Source organism: Homo sapiens, chromosome 14, assembly GCF_000001405.40.
Source record: "Homo sapiens chromosome 14, GRCh38.p14 Primary Assembly".
Taxonomy (NCBI): Eukaryota; Metazoa; Chordata; class Mammalia; order Primates; family Hominidae; genus Homo; species Homo sapiens.
Genome location: NC_000014.9, coordinates 102,800,064 through 102,820,615, shown reverse-complemented (window position 1 = coordinate 102,820,615; position 20,552 = coordinate 102,800,064). Strand labels below are relative to the sequence as shown.

Genomic DNA, 20,552 nt, shown 5'->3' with positions numbered 1-20,552 from the left:
ATATATATATATATATATATATATATATATATATATATATATGCTGGTCCCATTTCAGAAAGCAAATAAATTTTTAAAATGTAAAGGTACCTACCTACATCAAAATGCATCTGAAAAACATTAAAATAAAACTATACTCATTATATTTAAAAAGTCAGAAAAACGTATGTTGAATCCAGTTAATGTTTAAAGCTCTAGGCCCAGCTAAGAGGGCAGAGTGTGTGACTGCAGAGAGGGGGCCCCGGCACCCAAGTGCAGAAGGTTAGGAAGTGAGGGCAGCGCTCCTGGTCTGCAGCATCACCTGGAGTCGGCCCTTTCCTCCTTGGACCCGGGCAGCCAGACCCAAGGGCAGGATCCAGGCGATCCAGAACGGTTACCTCCTACACTCTGAGAGGGACACATTTGACCCTGCGTCACAATGCAGTGCCCCTTCTGCCAGCCCCCCATGTGGCTCACCTGAAACCGCACCTGTAGAGGACGCTCGCAAAGGAAAGGGGGAGATGACAGGGAGAACAACAGGACCTGCCGGGAGTGCCCTCCCAGCATGGGCTCACCACCCGCATGTGGTGACCACCCACCCCCTACACGGGAGGGCAGGCGTGATGTTTTCTTCCTTTGTATTTCAGCACGCTGCATAATGCGTGACAAGCAGATGCTCACTAAGACAGGTCCATAATCCCTTCTCTGCAATTTGAAAATCCAAAAAGCTCTCTGAAAACTGAAAGCATGTTCATAACTCACTTGGCGGTATGCCCTGATCTGATGTGAAGCTATTCATAGTCTCACTGTCCCACTTAGTGTGAATATTCATATACTTTTTGCTGCAAAAATCTTAATGTGCTTGATTATATGGTGCTGCCTAGGATGTCCTATACTATACGGTACTTTCACTATTTCTGTTCTAAAAATCTCAAAAATTCCACATTCCCAAACACCTCTGGCCCTGAGAGTCACAAAGGTGTGGTCCCATGACTGTTAGATGACAACAACAGGGCAGGCACTGGCCAGAGATGGTAACACCTGAGATGTAAATGAGCAGCAGGAAGAAGCACCTTTAATGGCCAGGAGAGAACAATAATCTCCATTCAAGTCTAGTTTATACATGTGTTCATTCTACAAACATGCTGAGCGATGTGCACACATCTCGCCCACAGCTGGGTAGACTGCATGAAAGCAAGAATGAAAGCAAGACTGCCGTGCCTGCCCTCATGGAGGGGAAGACCGTGAGGTGACAAACAAGTGCTCCGGCTCACACGGCAAACACAAGCTGTGGCTGGTGGTGGGTGCGGGCAAGAAAGGTGCTGATGTAACACTCAGGAAGGGCCCGAGCAGAGGGTGGCCAGGGAAGCCCCTGAGGAGTAACAGGGAAGCTACCCAAGGAACAGGGACAGCCACAGGCACAGCAAGAGTGGCAGGACAGGGACACACCGCTCTAGGAATCAGAGCATAGTGGCAGGGGAGGGGGTCTTGGGGGAAGGGAGAAGGATGCAGGGCTGGGGTGATGGAAGAGTTGGGATTTTTTTAAATTAATTAATTTTTAACTTCACTTTTTTTTTTTTTAGAGACAGAGTCTTGCTCCGTCACCCAGGCTGGAGTGCAGTGGCATGATCACAGCTCACTGTAACCTCACCTCAGCCTCTTGTAATTTTTAAAAAATTTAATTGACAAAAAAAATTGTATTTATTTATAAGATACAATGGGATGTTTTGATCTATGTATACATTGTGAAATGATTAAATCAAACTAGTTAATCTATCCATCACCTCACCAAGTTCCTTTTCTTGTGATGAAAACATTTAAGATCTACTCTTTAGCAATTTTGAAATATACAATACATGATTATCATCCATGGCCACAGAAGAGCCTGGAGGGCATTATGCTAAGTGAAATATGTGACGGATACCACATGGTCTTATTTATATGTGGAATCTAAGAAAGTAGAAGGTGAAGAAGCGTAGAGTAGAACAGTGGTTACGGAGGCTGGGAGCGGGGGAATGGGGAAAGGAGAGGTACTGGTCAAATGGTACAAAGTTTCAGTTAGAGAGTTAGGATTTGATTAAGTGTGAAGGGAAGTAAGTGGCTACTTGACTTAGTCAGGCATACAAACTACTCATCTCAAATCAAGCTCCCTCCAGGCCTCAGCCACCTGATCTGTCCACAAGAAGAAAGCCAAGATCTGATTTCTCAAATGCTTCCACTCCATGAAGTAACTTCCGTGGGTGAATCAAACTTCACAGAGCTTTCTACTAAGAAGGCTGAAGAACTTTAATGGGGGTGGGAGGGTTAATCATACTAAAATTGTACAAAAAGAAAAAGGCTATGTGATCAATGGGAAAGAGGCCAAACAGCTTTTAATCTCTACTGATTGTTAAATATTGTAAAAGGTTGGCTAACAGCACTACCCCCAGCTCACCCAAACCACCCTGCCAGAATTAAAGACAAATGGTGTATTTGTAAAGTGTTTTGAGAACACGGGGAAAAGGTCACTAAAATGTCCCTGGCGAGTGTTGCTTCAGAAGCCTAGTAGGCCCTGCCTGCCTCCACCACCTCATCTCTGAAAGGGTGGGAATCTCGAGCTCGCCATACTGCCTCCAGACACCCCGCAGCTCCCCACCCCTCTCCAGCCTTCCCAGTGCAGAATAAGGTGATTGCCAAACAACTATTAAGATGCACAAATGGAGGGATATTTGGAGCAGCTGCAAAAGCTCTATTATGGATAACAAAATAGGCAAGTGAATCTCAAACTCTTTAAGGTTAAATACTCACTTGGGTGAGACTTAACAACGTAACAATAGACTACAATAATGAAGTGGCTTCTCAAACTTTTTCACCAAAGTACCCCCAAAGGCACAGGAGAGAGAACCCTGAGGATAAGCACTTTGAAGCAACTCAATGGATATGAAGTATTACATTTTGTATTCGAAATTCATGCAAACTTTACCTTTAACTCCATAGCATACCTATAATACCTCTTTCCCCCTTGTCACCCTTACTCTCAGCTTTTGGAAAGGGGCAAGCTGGTATTTTCTCCTCCTCCCACTGCTGAAAGGAAGGCCTGCCTGTCTACTCTGCCCTCCCTCCAGATCCCATGGGCAAGGTCCACCCTCTACTCTGGCACTGGATCCCAGGCCCTCCTCTGTCAACCTCCCTCCTGAACACCCTGCCTTCCAGAGCACGGTAAGTGCTAATGTGTCCCCAGCACCCCCACTCCCCCATCATTCTACTTTAGAGAAAACTCTTTCAAGAAGCTGTTAACACACACATCCCATTCTCCCCTGAAAACTTCCACTTGTCATGCCTCCTGACACCAGTCTTGTCCAAGTCCCCAAAGACCTTCAAGTTGCAAAATCCAGTGGTCAAGTCTCACCCATCCTGCTTGATGCTCAAACAGCTTTTCATAATTCTCAAATATATCTCCAGCACCCCTTTCCCTGTAATTCCCCCAGACCTGTATATCCAATAACCAACTCAACATCTCCACTTGAGCATCAAAAAGGCATCTCAAACCTAACAGGTCCAACACTGAGCCCTTGGTACCCGTTCCTCTCTGATCTGCCTCTGGCAATGCCTGGCTCAGGAAATGGCACCATCCAATTCCTTAGATCATAAAGGACCCCCTTCCTCACATGCCATACATCCAATCCATCAGCAAAGACAGTCAGCTTCGTCTTCAAGATACGTTCCAAATCCAACCACTTCTCACCAAAGCTCGACCCACAGGGTCGAGTCTGCATGCGCTAGATTCAGAAGTGCAGCAAATGCTTCCCAGGTCCTCCTTATGAGCTCTTTCCTGGCAGCGGGCACAGGAGTGCATGACTACCCATCCACAGTGTCAGTCATCACAGCACCGTGGAAAACAGAGAAGACTGGAAACAACCTAAGTGTCCAACAACAGAGAATCGAATCAAGAAACTGCCACAATCATATGATCATCATATAATCAACCATGTAACAGAATGTCATGCTATTAAAAAATACCTCTGGTCCAACAGAAATACGAGAATCACAAAAATAATTTTAAATCTCCTAGCAGCTACAATTAAAGAGTAAAAAGAAGTCAGTAAAATTTACTGTGTATTATTTAACACAACATTAAACTTTATCATTTCAACATGTAATATTATCAAAAATTATTAACAGGATATTTTGCATTTTTTTAAACCACACTTAATCTTCAAAATCTGGTGTGTGGGGCTAGCCTGTGGCCTGTACAATCGGTGTATGGTAGCTAATGCATGTAATCGTAGCACTTTGGGAGGCTGAGGAGGGTGGACTGCTTGAGCTCAGGAGTTCGAGACCAGCCTGGCCAACATGGTAAAACCCCATCTCTACAAAAAATACAAAAATTAGGCGAGGGTGGTGGCATGTGCTCGTAGTCCCAGCTACTTGGGGGGCTGAGGTGAGAGGATCACCTGAGCCCAGGAGGCGGAGGTTGAAGAGAACTGAGATGGCATCACTACACTCCTGCCTGGGCAACAGAGTGAGACCCTGTTTCTTAAAAAAAAAAAAATAGAATTTAGAGTCCAGAAATAAGCCCTTATATTTATGGTCAATTGGTGTTTTTTTATGGAAAATACATTTTTGATAAGGGCACCAAGACCATTCAATGGAGAAAGAATAGTAATACGGTTTGGCTCTGTGTCCACCCAAATCTCATCTCGAATTGTAATCCCCATGTGTCAAGGGAAGGAAGTGATTGGATTATAGTGGTGGTGTCCCCAGGCTGTTCTCATGACAGTGAGTGAATTATCACCAGATCTGATGGTTTTATAAATGGTAGTTTTTCCTGCACTCACACACGCTCCTTCTTGCCTGCTGCCATGTAAGACGTGCCTGCTTCCCCGTCTGCCTTGATTGTAAGTTTCCTGAGGCCTCCCCAGACATGTAGAACTGTGAATCAATTAAACCTCTTTCCTTTAAAAACTACCCAGTCTGGGGAATTTCTTTATAGCAGTATGAGAACAGACTAATACAAGTAGTCCCTTCAACAAATGAACTACAAAATGTAAATATACACATGTAAAAGAATGAAACTGGACCCCTATCTCACACCACAAAAATTGACTCAAAATAGATCACACAATAAGCCAGGCACAGTGGTATGCACTGTAGTCCTAACTACCTGGGAAGCTAAGGCAGAAAGATCACTTGAGCCCAAGTGTTCAAGGCTGCAGTACACTATGATCATGGCTATGGATAAGCACTGCACTCCAGCCTGGCAATACAGCAAGACCCAGTCTCAAAAAAATAAAAATAAAAAACCAACACATACACACATGATCACAGCAGAAAAGAACTAAAACTATATAATTCTTAGAAGAAAGATGTAAATCTTCACGACCTTGGATTAGGCAATGGTTTCTTAGAAATGACTCCAAGCCAGGAACAGTGGCTCACATCTGTAATCCCAACACTTTAGGAGGCTGAAGCAGGAGAACTGCTTGAGCCCAGCAGTTTGAGACCAGCCCGGGCAACATAGTAAAACTCTGTCTCTACAAAAAATAATTTAAAAAATTAACCAGGCATAATGGTACCGCCTGTAGCCCTAGCTACTCAGGAGGCTAAGGCAGTAGGCTCCCTTGAGCTCTAGAGGTCGAGGCTACAGTGAGCCATGATTGTGCCACTGCACTACAGCCTGGCCAACAGTGCGAGATTCTGTCTCAGAAAAAGAAAGAAAAGAAAAGAAAAGGATACCAAAAGCACAATAAGCCAAAGAAAAAGTAGATAAACTGGACTTCATTTAAAGTTAAAAACTTTTGTACATCAAAGAACACCATCAAGAAATTGAAAAGAGGCCAGGTGCAGTGGTGTATGCCTGTAATCCCAGCACTTTGGGAGGCTGAGGTGGGTGGACCGCTTGAGCTCAGGAGCTCGAGACCAGCCTGGGCAACATGGCAAAACCCCGTCTCTACAAAAAAAAGTACAAAAAATTAGCCAGATGTGGTGGCATGTGCCTGCAGTCCCAGCTATTCAGGAGGCTGAGGTGGGAGGATCACCTAAGTCCAGGAGGTCAAGGCTGCACTGAGCTGTATCATGCCACTGCACTCCAGCCTAGATAACGAAGTGAGACCCTGTCTTGGGGGGGAAAAAAAGAAATCAAGATAATTAAAAGAGCAATCTCCATCAAAATACCAATGACATTGTTCACAGAAATAGAAAAAATATCCTAAAATTTGTATGAAACTGCAAAAGACCCCAAATAGCCAAAGCAATGCTGAGCAAGAAGAACAGAGCTGGAGGTATCACACTACCAAACCTTAAAATATACTACAAAGCTGTAGTAAGCAAAACGACACGGTACTGGTCTATAAAACAACTGGTATGTGTCTATAAAAACAGATACACAGACCAATGGAAAAGAATAGAAAACCCAGGAATTAACCTGCATATCTACAGCCAACTGATTTTTGACAAAGGCGCCAAGAACATTCATTGGGGAAAGGACAGTCTCTTCAACAAATGGTGCTGTGAAAATTAAATATCCATATGCAGAAGAGTGAAAATAGAAACTAGACCTCCACCTCTCATCCTATACAAAAATGAACTAAAAATGAATCAAAGACCTAAATATAAGACCCAAATGATAAAACTACTACAAAACATAGGGGAAATGCTTCATCACATTGGTCTGGGAAAAGATTTGATGAGTAACTGAAAAGCACGGACAACAAAAGCAAACATAAATGAATGGGATTATATCAAGCTAAAAAGCTTCAGCAAAACAAAGGAAACAATAGAATGAAAAGCCAACCTACAGAATGGGAGAAAGTATTTGCGAACTATTCATCCAACAGGGGATTGATATACAAGGAACTCACACATCTCAACAGCAAAAAAAAAAAATCCAATTAAAAAATGGGCAAATTGGCCAGGTGGGTGGCTCACGCCTGTAATCCTGGCACTTTGGGAGGCCGAGGCGGGTGGATCAACTGAGGTCAGGAGTTCAAGACCAGCCTGGCCAACATGGCAAACTCCCATCTCTATTAAAAATACAAAAATTAGCAGGTCGTGGTGGTGTGCGCCTGTAGTCCCAGCTACTCAAGAGGTTGAGGCAGGAGAATCACTTGAACCTTGGAGGTGGAGGTTGCAGTGAGCCAAGATCACACCACTGCACTCCAGCCTGGGTGACAGAGTGAGACTCCGTCTCAAAAAAAAAAGAAAAGAAAAGAAAAGAAAAAAGCCGGGGCAGGGGGATTACCTGAACAGACATTTCTCAAAAGACATACAAATGGCCAAATACATAAAAAATGCTCAGTATCACTAATCATCAAGGAAATGCAAAACAAAACCACAATGAGGTATCATCTCACCCCAGTTAGAATGGCTATTATCAAAAATACAGGCCAGGCACAGTGGCTCAAACCTGTAATCCCAGCACTTTGGGAGGCTGAGGCGGGCGGATTATCTGAGGTCAGGAGTTCGAGACCAGCCTGATCAACATGGAGAAACCCCGTCTCTACTAAAAATACAAAATTAGCCAGGCGTGGTGGCACATGCCTATAATCCCAGCTACTCGGGAGGCTGAGGCAGGAAAATTGCTTGAACCTGGGAGGCGGAGATTGTGGTGAGCCGAGATTGTGCCATTGCACTCCAACCTGGCGACAGAGCGAGACTCCACCTCAAAACTAAATAAATAAACAAATAAATAATAACAAATACTGTCCAGGATGCAGAGAAAAGGCAACTTTTTTTTTTTTGAGACGGAGTCTCGCTCTTTCGCCCAGGCCGGACTGCAGTGGCGCTATCTCGGCTCACTGCAAGCTCCGCCTCCTGGGTTCACGCCATTCTCCTGCCTCAGCCTCCTGAGTAGCTGGGATTACAGGCGCCCGCCACCGTGCCCGGCTAATTTTTCGTATTTTTAGTAAAGACAGGGTTTCACCGTGTTAGCCAAGATGGTCTCGATCTCCTGACCTCGTGATCCGCCCCCCTCGGCCTCCCAAAGTGCTGGGATTACAGGCGTGAGCCACCACGCCCGGCCTGAGAAAAGGCAACTCTTACACACTATTGGTAGGAATGTAAACTAGTACAGCCACTATGGAGAGCAGTATGGAATTTCCTCAAAAGCTACAAATAGAACTACCATATGATCCAGCAATCCCACTACTGGGAATTTATCCAAAGGAAAGGAAATCATGACATCAAAGAGACATCTATACCCCATATTTACCGTAGCACTATTCACAATAGCCAAACAGGGAATCAATCTAGGTGTCCAACAACAGATGAAGAAAATGTGGTATCTATACAAAATGGACTACTATTTAGCCATAAAAATGAATGAAATCCTGTCGTTCACAGCAACATGGATAGAAGTGGAGGACACTATATTAAGTGAGATAAGCCAAAAACAGAAAGTTAAACACCACATGTTCTCACTAATACATGTGGAAGCTAAAAAAAGTTGATCTCACAGAAGTCAAAAGTAAACACAGGATACTAGAGGTTAGGAAGGGTAGGAGGATGGGAAAAATGGGGAGAGAGCTAGACAGGAACAGAGTCTAGTGTTCTATAGCACTGTCGGATGACTGCAGTTAACAATAATATATAGCTTCAGGCCAGGTGCTCTGGCTCACTCCTGTAATACCAGTGTTTTGGGAGGCTGAAGCAGGAAGACCACTTGAGGCCAGGAGTTTGAGACCAGCCTTAGCAACACAGCAAGACCCTGTCTGTACAAAAAAAAAAAAAAAAAAAAAAAAAAAAAAGGGCCAGGCATGGTGGCACAAGCCTACAGTCCTAGCTACTCGGGAGGCTGAGGCAGGAGGATCACTTGAGCCCACGAGTTCAAGGTTACAGTAAGTTATGACTGCACCACTGCACTCCAGCCTGGGTGGCAGAGTGAGACAGTCTGTACAAACACACACACACACACACACACACACACACACACTACTGCTGTAGCAGTATCCTCCTCACAATGTCAGCCCATCTTAGCAACTTCCGATCAAACTGAGAGTCAAATTGAGAGACTGTAATGAAGGCCTTCATCGCCTTTGCACTATGAGACAAGAGATCTGACCTCTGCACAAAAACAAACAAAAACCAAAAAAAAAAAAAAAAAAAAAAAACCGCCTACAGCGCAAACAGCTCCTTGAGCTCCTTGTAGGTGTGGCTTGTGGGAATGGTCAAGAGCCAGGCATGGCGGCACGGGCCTAATGTCCCAGCTACTCAGGAGGCTGAGGCGAAAACTGCTTAAGCCCAGGACTTCATGGCTGCAGTGTACTATCATCCAGGGCAGTACGACAGCACCTGTGAATAGCCACTGCACTCCCGCCTGAGGCAACATAGCAAGACTCTCTCTTAAGAAAAAAAAAAAAAAAGGTACCCATTGTTTGCTCAGAAGGACGCTAATACAGACAGCAGCAACGGGGCTCATGAGAAGAATCAAAGCAGCAAAAATCATGGGGATGCAGCAATTCGGCATCCCCTTAAGGATCAGGCTGTCCTCCACTCCACTGTGAGATACAAAGTGTATAATGCATGGGACTGGCGTCCTACAAGATGATCTAAGTGCATACATACTGAAAAAAGATGCAAAGACTATACACCAAGATGCTAATGGTGTGGGGATAATGAGGAAAATTATTTTATTTTTATCTTTATGTGTTTTCTCTGGGTATACATACAAAGTTAAGATACCTTTACCGAGCTTTCTCCTGAAGAATTCCTTCTTGATGTAAGTGACTGTAAAGGTTCTGCCCTCAGAGATGTCTTATTTCTGGGAATCCAGAATGTGTAATGGACTCGGGGTACCTTTTCTACGTTTCATCTCCCAAAGAATACGTCCACACCCAGGTAGGCTGATGCTGACACAGCAGACAACACTGACCTCCTCCATGCAGAAGTTTAACAGGTGAAATACAGTTACTGACATCAGCAAGAATTGTTGTCTTTCTCTTGATTCTCTCAGGTTCCTCAATTTATAGGATCACTGAGGCTTCACAGATGTCAGCTGCTGATCAAAACAATCATAAGCCCACATCATGATAAGCTCAAGATAAATCTTTAGCCTTAAGTCAGGAATTCTGGGCCCATCTGCATGTCAAATACCACAGAGCCAGTGTCTTGTGAACACTGCAAACACTTCTGAAGAACTACTTTATAAGTTCAGGAGAGCACATCTCAGAAAAAAATGGAATACTTATTTCAATTTCTCACAATTAACTCTAATTTATGACATTGACATTCTCCTACTTAAAAGCTTCTGATGGTCCACCACTCCAGAACTAAGCTTCAACTTGTAAAAGGGGCCATGATCACTGTCCTCACCACACACTGAGGTCACCCTATGTTCCCACCAGAGCCGACTGCACTGGGTGTGATGAACAGTATCTATACTCTCTCTCCCACTGCACCGCCCCATCCTCACCCAAATCCCCTCAAGATCAAAATTCTTTATCTTGTAAAACTCCTGCTCAAACATTACAGTTGTAGGGGGGAGGGGGTTGTTTGTTTTTTGGTAAAGCATTCTTGACCCTTTAAGCCAAGAGTTGGCAAACTTTTTTCCCATAAAGAGCCAGACAGTAACTATTTTATGTTTCATGGGTCACATATTCTTCTTTGCTTATTTTTACAATCCTTTAAACACATAAAAACTATTCTTAGACCCATAGTTTGCCAATCTGTTTTAGATACTACTGCCATGCCGTGCTCCAACGTTTTTGGTAATGCATGGATGGAGTATGTTTCATCAGTTTAACTTCAATCAGATGAACTTTCAAAAGCCAAACTGAGGTTTCCCTTTAAAGATCTGTTCTTGCCTACATGGTCTTTAAAAGTCTATGCTGTGGGCCAAGCGCGGTGGCTCATGCCTGTAATCCCAGCACTTTAGGAGGCCGAGGCGGGCAGATCACGAGGTCAGGAGATTGAGACCATCCTGGCTAACATGGTGAAACCCCATCTCTACTAAAAATACAAAAAATTAGCCGGGTGTGGTGGCGAGCGCCTGTGGTCCCAGCTACTCAGGAGACAGACAGGAGAATAGCATGAACCTGGGAGGCGGCGCTTGCAGTGAGCCGAGATTGCGCCCCTGAACTCCAGCCTGGGCAACAGAGCAAGACTCCGTCTCAAAAAAAAAAAAAAAAAAAAAGTCTATGCTGTGAAAGATTTTATTATAAAGCTTAAAAATAATCCTCATTTGGGATACATTCCATTTCCAGGAGACACAGAGCTTTAAGAAAGTCACTCTAGGCCAGGCGCGGTGGCTCACGCCTGTAATCTCAGCACTTTGGGAGGCTGAAGCAGGCAGATCACCTGAGGTGAGGAGTTTCAGACCAGCCTGGCCAACTGGTGAAACCCCGTCTCTACTAAAAATACAAAAATTAGCCGGGTGCGGCCAGGCACAGTGGCTCATGCCTGTAATCCCAGCACTTTGAGAGGCCAAGGCAGGCAGATCACGAGGTCAGGAGATTAAGACCATCCTGGCTAACACAGTGAAACCCAGTCTTTACTAAAAATACAAAAAATTAGCCGCGTGTAGTGGCACGCACCTGTAGTCCCAGCTACTTGGGAGGCTGAGGCAGGAGAATCTCTCGAACCTGGGAGGCAGAAGCTGCAGTAAGCAGGGATCGCGCCACTGCACTCCAGCCTGGGTGACAGAGCGAGACGCCATCTCAAAATAAATAAATAAATAAATATTAGCTGGGTGTGATGGCGCGCACCTGTAATCCCAGCTGCTCGGGAGGCTGAGGCAGGAGAATCACTTGAACCCAAGAGGTGGAGGCTGCAGTGAGCTGAGATCGTGCCACTGCACTGCAGCCTGGGCAACAGCGTAAGACTGTCTTAAAAAAAAAAAAAGTCAATCTATCACCATGCTCAAGACAATCAAATTAAAACTACAACTAAAATTTTTCTAGAAACAGCCATTGGTCATTCGACTCAGAGGACATATTTTCCCCAAATACTGAAAATGTGCCTTTAATATTTACATTATGTCCTGTAAAATGCGTCTATAGCTAGGGTCCACCTTCTAGACCAATTTGGAAGTTTTTCTGTTCCAACAAATCCTCTTAAATAACTTCTCAGACATTTCCTTCCCTTGGAGGCTGCCTTGGAAGCCCTCTAGCACCTGACTAGTATGGTTCTTCTTTTCTTTTTTTTTTTTTTTGAGATGGAGTCTCGCTCTGTTGCCCAGGCTGGAGTGCAGTGGCACAATCTCGGCTCACTTCAACCTCTGCCTCCTGGGTTCAAGCAATTCTCCTGCCTCAGCCTCCTGAGTAGCTAAGATTACAGGCATGTGCCACCACACCCGGCTAATTTTTGTATTTGTAGTAAAGGTGGGGTTTCACCATCTTGGCCAGGCTAGTCTCAAACTCCTGACCTCAGGTGATTCGCCTGTCTCAGCCTCCCAAAGTGCTGGGATTACAGGTGTGAGCCACCGCACCTGGCCTAGTGTGTTCTTCTTTCACATCCATCTCCATTGCGAAACTTAGGAATGCTCCAGTATCAGCCTGTGGCAAACCAGGGACGTGGCCAAAGTGACTCTCTGTGCCCTCCCCTCCCACTTCCTGTCCATCCAAAACAACCGCCAAATAAATGCACAGTTATAAACACCTGGACCATGCATTCCATCCATGCATTCCTTCACCTCTAACAAAATAAAATTTCATTTCTTTCAGACGTGTCTTAAGGACTAGTGGAGCATAGAGGTATGCTGCCTCAACTTCCTTCCAGTACTGATTTGCATGTTGGAGTAATTATGCCAAGGCCATGGTGCTAGTTTTCCATTTCCTTTTTCGTAAAAAGGCCAACTAACTCACCATGCTCTACTTCAAAAGCTTACTAACAACATCACTATGCGCCTACCTTTCTGTGTGCCATAAAAACAGGGTGGAACATTTGCCAGCTGTAGGGATAAGAGAGCTCCCCTGGAGCTGTGGTCGCTGCCCTCATGCCTCACCACTAATGGCTTAGTTCTTTTAATACTCTGAAAGGTGAGGAAAAAATAACTGACAGAAAAATCCCCTACACAAAAACCCCAACTCTGCGGGAAGGAGGGCAGGTCCCTGTGAATCATCCACCCATCCTCCAAGTGAAAGGCAGCACAGGTGAGTGAGTTATCATCTAAAGATGGCCAAAGCAAGAGGACTGCTTGAGGCCAGGAGACCAAGACCGGCCTGGGCAGCATAGCAAGACCCCATCTCCACAAGAAAATAAACATGGCTAGTAGAAAGGGACACAGCCCTGTGGGGATGGCTGAGGAGGAAACTGTAGGACACAGGCAACAGGACTCCAGGTGCAGGCATGGAGAGACTGAGGCCCCAGGCCCCTGGAGAAAGGAGGACAAGGCAGCAGGCAGGACAGGCAGTGTCCAGGGGGAACAATGATGGCCTCCTGGGCAGGCAGGCTCCTGGGGCTGAAGCTGGGGCAGCAGGGAGACGCAAGACCTTATCAGGAGGAATGCAGGGTGCACTGAATGCAGTCAGAGGCCGTAAAGGGTTTTCAGGGAAGGGCAGGAGGCCACCTATGTTTAGATCTCTCTGACAGCAGCATGGAGAAAGGCCTGGAGAAAACTGGGGTGAAGTGGATAGACAAGTTGGGGCCACCGGCATCAGCAGAAGGCTTGCCTGGGCTGGGGACCAGGGACGTGGGAAAACAGGGTGCAGAAGTGAGCACCAACGACAGATTGTGAGAGAAGAGGGACCAAGAAATGCTCCCCAGTCTTCTAGCATCTGGATGGGGGTAGGGAGGAATCAAGAGCTTCACTAGAGACAGGTTAGGTGTCATTCAAGCAATAACACCCAGTGGCCCCAGTCATGCCCCATTCACTCACTCTCAAGGTTTGTGGACAAAACGCCTCCTTGTCCTGCAGGTCCGGGACAATGAGCCCCTCTGAGACCAGCTGTATGAAGCACTCCACTCTTGACCTCCCCCCAGCCCTGCCAGGCCCCCTCTATTCTTCTGGAATCAGCACATGGACTTCCCTGTCTTCAAGGTCTGCCTTAGAACACAGGCCTCATGACTACAGGGAGCTGCCCATATCATTTCCTGCCATGCCCTGGTACACAGGAGGGTGCCCGGCACATACCAAGGACTCAATAGCTGTTAAATAAATATGCAGGTCCGAAGCTGAAGCTCAAGGGGCAGCTTGGACTAAAGACATAAGTTTGGGGAACTTGGGAACCACAGCTGGAAAATTATTTTATTTTTCTAATGGTATCTACTCAAAAATTCCCATTCTGCTAACCAAAGTTTTGATGTAAATTATGGCATGTTGGGAAGGGTTTATCCAGACTGGCTTGATGGACTTCTGGGCACTCTAGCCTCCAAGTGCCCTCTGCTGTTTAATGACTAAAGAGACTGAATTTCTGTAGAAAGTACCTCACCTTATGAAAACATAAAATCTTAACAGTCATACATTCACTAGAAATCAAGAAGAGTATGGTGAATGAACAATTTCCAAGCCACGGTTTCTCAACCTTGGCGCAACTAACATTTTGAACCCGAAAACTCTTTGCTGTAGGGATATGCTGAGCACTGCAGGGTGTTCACAGCATCCCTCGTTCTACTTACCAATGCCAGTGGCATCCCCCACCCCACTTCTGAAGGTTTCCAGACACTGCAAAATGCCCCCTAGGGTACGAAACTGCACCCCACCCCCACCCCACCAACTCCATCTCTGGATGAGAACCACTGTCCCAGACCCAGTGGTCTTTCCATGTAACTACAACCAAGGAAACAGGAATCAAATTTAGTTAAGTTTGAAATGTTCACTTAAAAACAACTAGTCCAAATGACATCCTCTAGTGAAACTAAAAGTAAAACAGGTATGTACTCACACAAACCATCCCAGTGAGGTTTTGAACCATGACATCAAAACATGCTGACATTTCCTTTGAAGAGTCTGGGTCTAAATTGGACAATCTTCGGAAGGACTGCCTCACGCTCTAGCTGAGGGAATGCATGACTAACCTCTTCATTTCAACAGGACACAGGAAAACGTAGCCAGGTAGAGCATTCTTTCCCTATGTAAAACTGCATGGAATCACCGAGCTGGCTGCAGGCAGGGGCTCCCTGGTGCCTCACTGCTCACCAGCAGGGAGGAGAACCCAACAGTAGTCTTGGGCAGCGATGACTCAGCCACAGCAGAAGCCACAGAGGGCTTGGAGTCCAGCGGTGAGTCTCTACGCAAGGGGGCTCCCAGCATCCTGCAATCCACTCACCGAGGGCAGTGAGGGTCTCATCTGGATATCTTCTTCCACTTGTCACTGTCTTTATGCACATCGCTCTCCACAGAAAAGTGAGTAATTCTTACACACTTTAAATCACTTGGGACATTTTTAGTATCAGATTCCCACATCAGTTTACCACAGAGTTTTTGAGGTTTTACCTTTTTCCTTCCCATCTAAGAAGAGCACACACTAGAAAAGAAGCATCCAGTGAATCTCCTGGCCTCCAAACTCCCCCATGATGGGAGTGGTGATGGGGTGTCCAGAGTAAAATGTCTGATAATGAGACCAAAACTAGTTGCTAATTATCTAAATTATCTAAACCAAAGGGTACCAAATATGCATGGAGAACAAATACTCCCTTAAGCACCAAAAGGAAAGAAAACTGAAGGCAAGTAATTAAGGCATTAAAGATGTGTCAATCACAATACAAATTCTTCTACGTCCAGGGAAGGTCAAAATCTTTCCTTGTGTTCCTCAAAATATGGTGGTATAGACAAGAACCACTGGCATTTTTTCTGTCCTGGAGGATCAATTTTGGTGCACAGAAAGATTTTTAGAAGTTTGTAATATTAGAACATATATATTACATATCATACAGCAGAACTCAAAATTCATATGAATTTTAGAAAAAAAGGACCACAAAAACCAGGTATCAAGAACAGGGTTAGGTGTGATGTCTCATGCCTGTAGTCCCAGCACTTTGGGATGCTGGGGCAGGATGATTACTTGAGGCCAGGAGTTCAAGACCAGCCTGGGCGATATAGCAAAACCCTGTCGCTACAAAAAATACAAAAATTATCCAGTGTGGTGGCTTGCACCTGTAGTTCCAGCTACTTGGGAGGCTGAGGTGGGAGGATCACTTGAGCCCAGGAGGTTGATGCTCCTGTGAGCTGAGATCATGCCATTACATTCCAGCCTGGGCAACAGAGTGAGACCCTGACTCAAAAAATAAAAAAAGAAAAGGCTGCTTTAGGATATTGCGTTCTTGGCCCTCTGAAAGGGTACAAGTCACACATCCACTGTCCTCTGTTGCTACGGCGGCCTCACAGTGGAAAGCTAGGGACATACTGATAATTTTCATCTGCTGTGCACCAAAAACGGCCCAATTATTTTCCTAGCCAAGGTCAGTCATGGAGCAAGGGAATCTGAAGAACGCTCCAGAGAACTGAAGATTGTAAGTCTCTACAGAGAAAAGGGAGTCTGCGTAGACACACACAAGTCAATCATATGACTCCTCTGAAGTTTTTTTTGTTTTTTTTTTTAAACAGTCTCACTCTGTCACTGAGGCTAGAATGCAGTGGCCCAATCATGGCTCACTGCAGTATGGACCTCCTGGGCTCAAAGAACCCTCACATCTCAGCCTGGAAGGATCCCTCTCGCCCCGCCTCCTGAGTAGCTGGGACCACAGGCGCACACTAACATGCCCAGCTAATTCTCTCTCAGACAGGGTATCAAACTCCTGGGCTCAAGCGACCCTCCGGCCTGAGCCTCTCAAAGTGCTGGGATTACAGGCGCCAGCCACTATATCCAGCCCAACTTTTTTAAGTCAATTTCATAGGGTCACCTCCTCAAAGCCAAGAATTATATATTTGCATGTTTTTATGGTACATGCAGCAGTCATCAGATGCTTGCAAGTGAAGGACAGATGGGCTGAGAGAAATCAGAAACCGTACAGAATTCTGTAAGCGAGCAGAGCCGGCCACCAGCTCCAGCTCTAAGCCCAGCCCCAACAAGATATTCCACTTCTGGCTGGGTGCAGGGTGCACACCCAGCTACTCAGGAGGCTGAAGCAGGAGGATCAGTTGAGCCCAGGAGCTTGAGTCCAGCCAAAGCAACAGAGCGAGACCCTGTCTCTTAAAAAAAAAAAAAAAATTATACTTCTGGCCAACTTAACCTCCATTATAGTCCTAGATAACTAAAACTGCTAAATTTTACTGAGCTTACCTATGCTAAATGCTTTCCATCTCACACTCCAGGGGGTAAGTACCATTATCCTTATTTCTAGGTAAAAGAACTGAGACACACGGAAGGTAACTGCCCAAGACCCAGGGTCACTCAGACCAGGCAGCCTGCCACCAGCACTCACGCCCTTAGCCACCACCCCACCTCACGCTGCCTCCTTATGTGCACCATCTGGGTGAAAAGAAAAACAAGAAGCTGAGGGCTGACATTCCAAGACTGTAACTCTAAGGAACACAAGTCCTTCATAACCAGCAAGGATCCCACTCCCTCTATAAAAAGCCTGCCAGGAGGCCAAGCCAGGAGCGTAAGCCACTGATAGGGCTGTGTCTCTACCCAAATCTCATTTTGAATTGTAGTTCCCATAATCTCCATGTGTCATGGGAGGGACCTGGGGGGAGGTAATTGAATCATGGGGGCAGTTTCCACCATCCTGTTCTTGTGACAGTGAGTTCTCACGAGATCTGATGGTTTTACAAGGGGCTTTTCCCCCTTTGCTCTGCACTTCTCCTTGCTGCCACCATGTGAAGGATGTGTTTGCTTCCCCTTCCACCATGATTGTAAGTTTCCTGAGGCCTCCCCAGCCATGCTGAACTGTGAGTCAATTAAACCTCTTTTCTTTATATTAATAAATTACTCAGTCTCGAGTATTTCTTTTTTTTGAGACAGAGTCTTGCTCGGTTGCCCAGGCTAGAGTGCAGTGGCACGATCTCGGCTCACTGAAACTTCCGCCTCCCAAGTTCAAGCAATTCTCCTGCCTCAGCCTCCTGAGTAGCTGGGATTACAGGCGCCCGCCACACACCCGGCTAATTTTTTTGTATTTTTAGTAGAGATGGAGTTTCACCATCTTGGCCAGGCTGGTCTTGAACTCCTGACCTCATGATCCTCCCACCTCGACCTCCCAAAGTGCTGGGATTACAGGCGTGAGCCACCGCGCCCAGCCTCAGGTATTTTTTCATAGCAGCGTGAAATTGGACTAATACAGCCACCTTCTAACACAACTTCTGCTCTTGGCTTGAAATGTCTTTAAACAGTTGGCTGGGCGTGGTGGCTCACGCCTGTAATCCCAGCACTTTGGGAGGCCGAGGCGGGCAGATCACGAGGTCAGGAGATTGAGACCATCCTGGCTAACATAGTGAAACCCCATCTCTACTAAAAATACAAAAAATTAGCCAGGCATGGTGGCGGGCGCCTGCAGTCCCAACTACTCGGGAGGCTGAGGCAGGAGAATGGCGTGAACCCGGGAGGCGGAGGTTGCAGTGAGCCAAGATTGCGCCACTGCACTCCAGCCTGGGCGACAGAGAGAGACTCCATCTCAAAAAAAAAAAAAAAAAATGAGTCCAGGTGCAATGGCTCATGCCTGCAATCCCAGCACTTTGGGAGGCCAAGGTGGGACGACCACTAGGAGTTCAAGACCAGAATGGGCAACATAGTGAGACTCCGTCTCAAAAAAAAAAAATTTTTTTTTTTTTTTGAGATGGAGTCTCGCTCTGTCGCCCAGGCTGGAGTGCAGTGGCATGATCTCGGCTCACTGCAAGCTCCGCCTCCCGGGTTCACGCCATTCTCCTGCCTCAGCCTCCTGAGTAGCTGGGACTACAGGCGCCCGCCACCACGCCCGGCTAATTTTTTGTATTTTTAGTAGACGGGGTTTCACTGTGTTAGCCAGGATGGTCTCCATCTCCTGACCTTGTGATCTGCCCGCCTCGGCCTCCCAAAGCGCTGGGATTACAGATGTGAGCCACTGCAGCAGACCAAAAAAAATTTTTTTAATTAAAAATTTTTTTTAAATTAAGCAGGTGTGGTGGCTCATACTCGTGGTCCCAGCTACTTGGGAAGCTGACATGGGCGGATCACTTGAACCCAGGAAATCGAGGCTGCAGTGAGCTGTGATTGTACTACTGCACCTCAGCCTGGGTGACAGAGTGAGACACTGTCTCAAAACAAACAAACAAAAATAGCTGCATTTGTTGGGTGCCTGCTAACTGCCAAGAGTTTTCTACACATACCAACACACTAACATGGCATATACTGACCCACCTATAAGCTGGGTATCTATAGCACCACAATCCTTATCCAAAACCGAGGCCAGATGTGTTTCAGAGTTCAGAATTTTTTGAATTTTAGAAAGGAAATATTGTACGCATATTTTATATATTATATATTATATAACACTCCAGGGAAGTCTGAGGCAGTAACCATAAGAAAACACATTAATTCACCGGGTGTGGTGGCTCTTGACTGTAATCCCAGCACTTTGGGAGGCCGAGGTGGGAGGATCACTTGAGTCTAGGAGTCTGAGACTAGCCTAGGTAACAAAGTGAGAAGACACGGAGTCTCGTTCTGTCGCCCAGGCGGGAGTGCCGTGGCGCGATCTCCGCTCACTGCAAGCTCCGCCTTCCGGGTTTACGCCATTCTCCTGCCTCAGCCTCCCGAGTAGCTGGGACTACAGGCGCCCGCCACTGCGCCCGGCTAATTTTTTGTATTTTTAGTAGAGACGGGGTTTCACCGTGGTCTCGATCTCCTGACCTCGTGATCCGCCCGCCTTGGCCTCCCAAAGTGCTGGGATTACAGGTGTGAGCCACCGCGCCCGGCCAGAACCCTTTCTTTACAAAATTTAAATTAAAAAATCAGCTGGGTGTGGCGGCACAAGCCTGTAGTCCTCGCTACTTGAGAGGCTGAGGTGGGAAGATCTCTTGAGATCAGAAGTTCAAGGCTGCAGAGAGCTTTGATCACACCACTGATTCTAGCCTGGGCAACAGAGCAAGAGTCTTCTCAAAAAAAAAAAAAAAAAAAAGGAAAAGAACAGGAAACATGTTAATTAACCATCTGTGGTAAAATAATGAAATATTCATATTAAGTGGAATAGAGATTATAAATAGCCTCACATAAGTTCAGGCCAAGTGGCACCAAATCTATGAAAAAACATTCCATTTTCAGAGGCTCTGGGGTTTCAGCACTGTGGCTGAGGAACTGGGGCCTGCACCATCGCACTCACTTTATGTGCTACGGTCCTGGTTCAGAAAGGCCAAATAACTTGGTCAAGTTCATGCAGCTGGGAAAGAAGAGAGGCAAGGTATGAACCCCGACTCTCTCACCCAAAGCCTGCACGGTGCTTCTCACACTTAAATGAACGCAATGATCACCTAACAGCCTCTCTGAGAGCTGACTGTGAGTCGGCAGGTCTGAGGCAGGGCCTGGGAAACTGCATTCCTAAAGCACTGGGGCTCCTGGAGGGAATGTGCTGCTTCCACTGGACCAGAGGCTCCCAGTCCAGCAGGGCATCAGCACTCCCAGGAGTTCTTTAAAAATTCCCTCTAAATCTGAATTTCCAGGGTCTTAACTGATAGAAATTGTATGGGTGGGGGCCTCAGTTTTTGTGGTCATTTCTAATAGCCCATTAAGAGAAATAAATCACTAATAAAGTAG

The 20,552-nt window shown here is 46.0% G+C and overlaps 1 protein-coding gene across 15 annotated transcripts in view, besides 8 other annotated features; it reads right to left on the bottom strand.

Moving 5' to 3' along the window:
- TRAF3 (TNF receptor associated factor 3) overlaps positions 1-20,552 on the bottom strand; it is a 134,052-nt gene that overhangs the window by 90,885 nt on the left and 22,615 nt on the right. The gene's annotated exons all lie outside the window — the stretch shown is intronic.
- Positions 474-543: an enhancer, noted in NCBI's record as "active region_9090". NCBI's record gives its function as "activates an Ori minimal core promoter by ATAC-STARR-seq in GM12878 lymphoblastoid cells {active_cell/tissue: GM12878}" and the evidence as "EXISTENCE:reporter gene assay evidence [ECO:0000049][PMID:35858748]".
- Positions 584-693: an enhancer, noted in NCBI's record as "active region_9089". NCBI's record gives its function as "activates an Ori minimal core promoter by ATAC-STARR-seq in GM12878 lymphoblastoid cells {active_cell/tissue: GM12878}" and the evidence as "EXISTENCE:reporter gene assay evidence [ECO:0000049][PMID:35858748]".
- Positions 814-1,013: an enhancer, noted in NCBI's record as "active region_9088". NCBI's record gives its function as "activates an Ori minimal core promoter by ATAC-STARR-seq in GM12878 lymphoblastoid cells {active_cell/tissue: GM12878}" and the evidence as "EXISTENCE:reporter gene assay evidence [ECO:0000049][PMID:35858748]".
- Positions 1,274-1,353: an enhancer, noted in NCBI's record as "active region_9087". NCBI's record gives its function as "activates an Ori minimal core promoter by ATAC-STARR-seq in GM12878 lymphoblastoid cells {active_cell/tissue: GM12878}" and the evidence as "EXISTENCE:reporter gene assay evidence [ECO:0000049][PMID:35858748]".
- Positions 7,056-7,165: an enhancer, noted in NCBI's record as "active region_9086". NCBI's record gives its function as "activates an Ori minimal core promoter by ATAC-STARR-seq in GM12878 lymphoblastoid cells {active_cell/tissue: GM12878}" and the evidence as "EXISTENCE:reporter gene assay evidence [ECO:0000049][PMID:35858748]".
- Positions 8,854-8,963: a silencer, noted in NCBI's record as "silent region_6132". NCBI's record gives its function as "represses an Ori minimal core promoter by ATAC-STARR-seq in GM12878 lymphoblastoid cells {active_cell/tissue: GM12878}" and the evidence as "EXISTENCE:reporter gene assay evidence [ECO:0000049][PMID:35858748]".
- Positions 10,773-10,932: a silencer, noted in NCBI's record as "fragment chr14:103276021-103276180 (GRCh37/hg19 assembly coordinates)". NCBI's record gives its function as "represses an EF-1alpha promoter that drives an FKBP-Casp9 reporter gene in an ReSE screen in phorbol 12-myristate 13-acetate-treated (for megakaryocytic differentiation) K562 erythroleukemia cells {active_cell/tissue: K562(+PMA)}" and the evidence as "EXISTENCE:reporter gene assay evidence [ECO:0000049][PMID:32094911]".
- Positions 14,826-14,915: an enhancer, noted in NCBI's record as "active region_9085". NCBI's record gives its function as "activates an Ori minimal core promoter by ATAC-STARR-seq in GM12878 lymphoblastoid cells {active_cell/tissue: GM12878}" and the evidence as "EXISTENCE:reporter gene assay evidence [ECO:0000049][PMID:35858748]".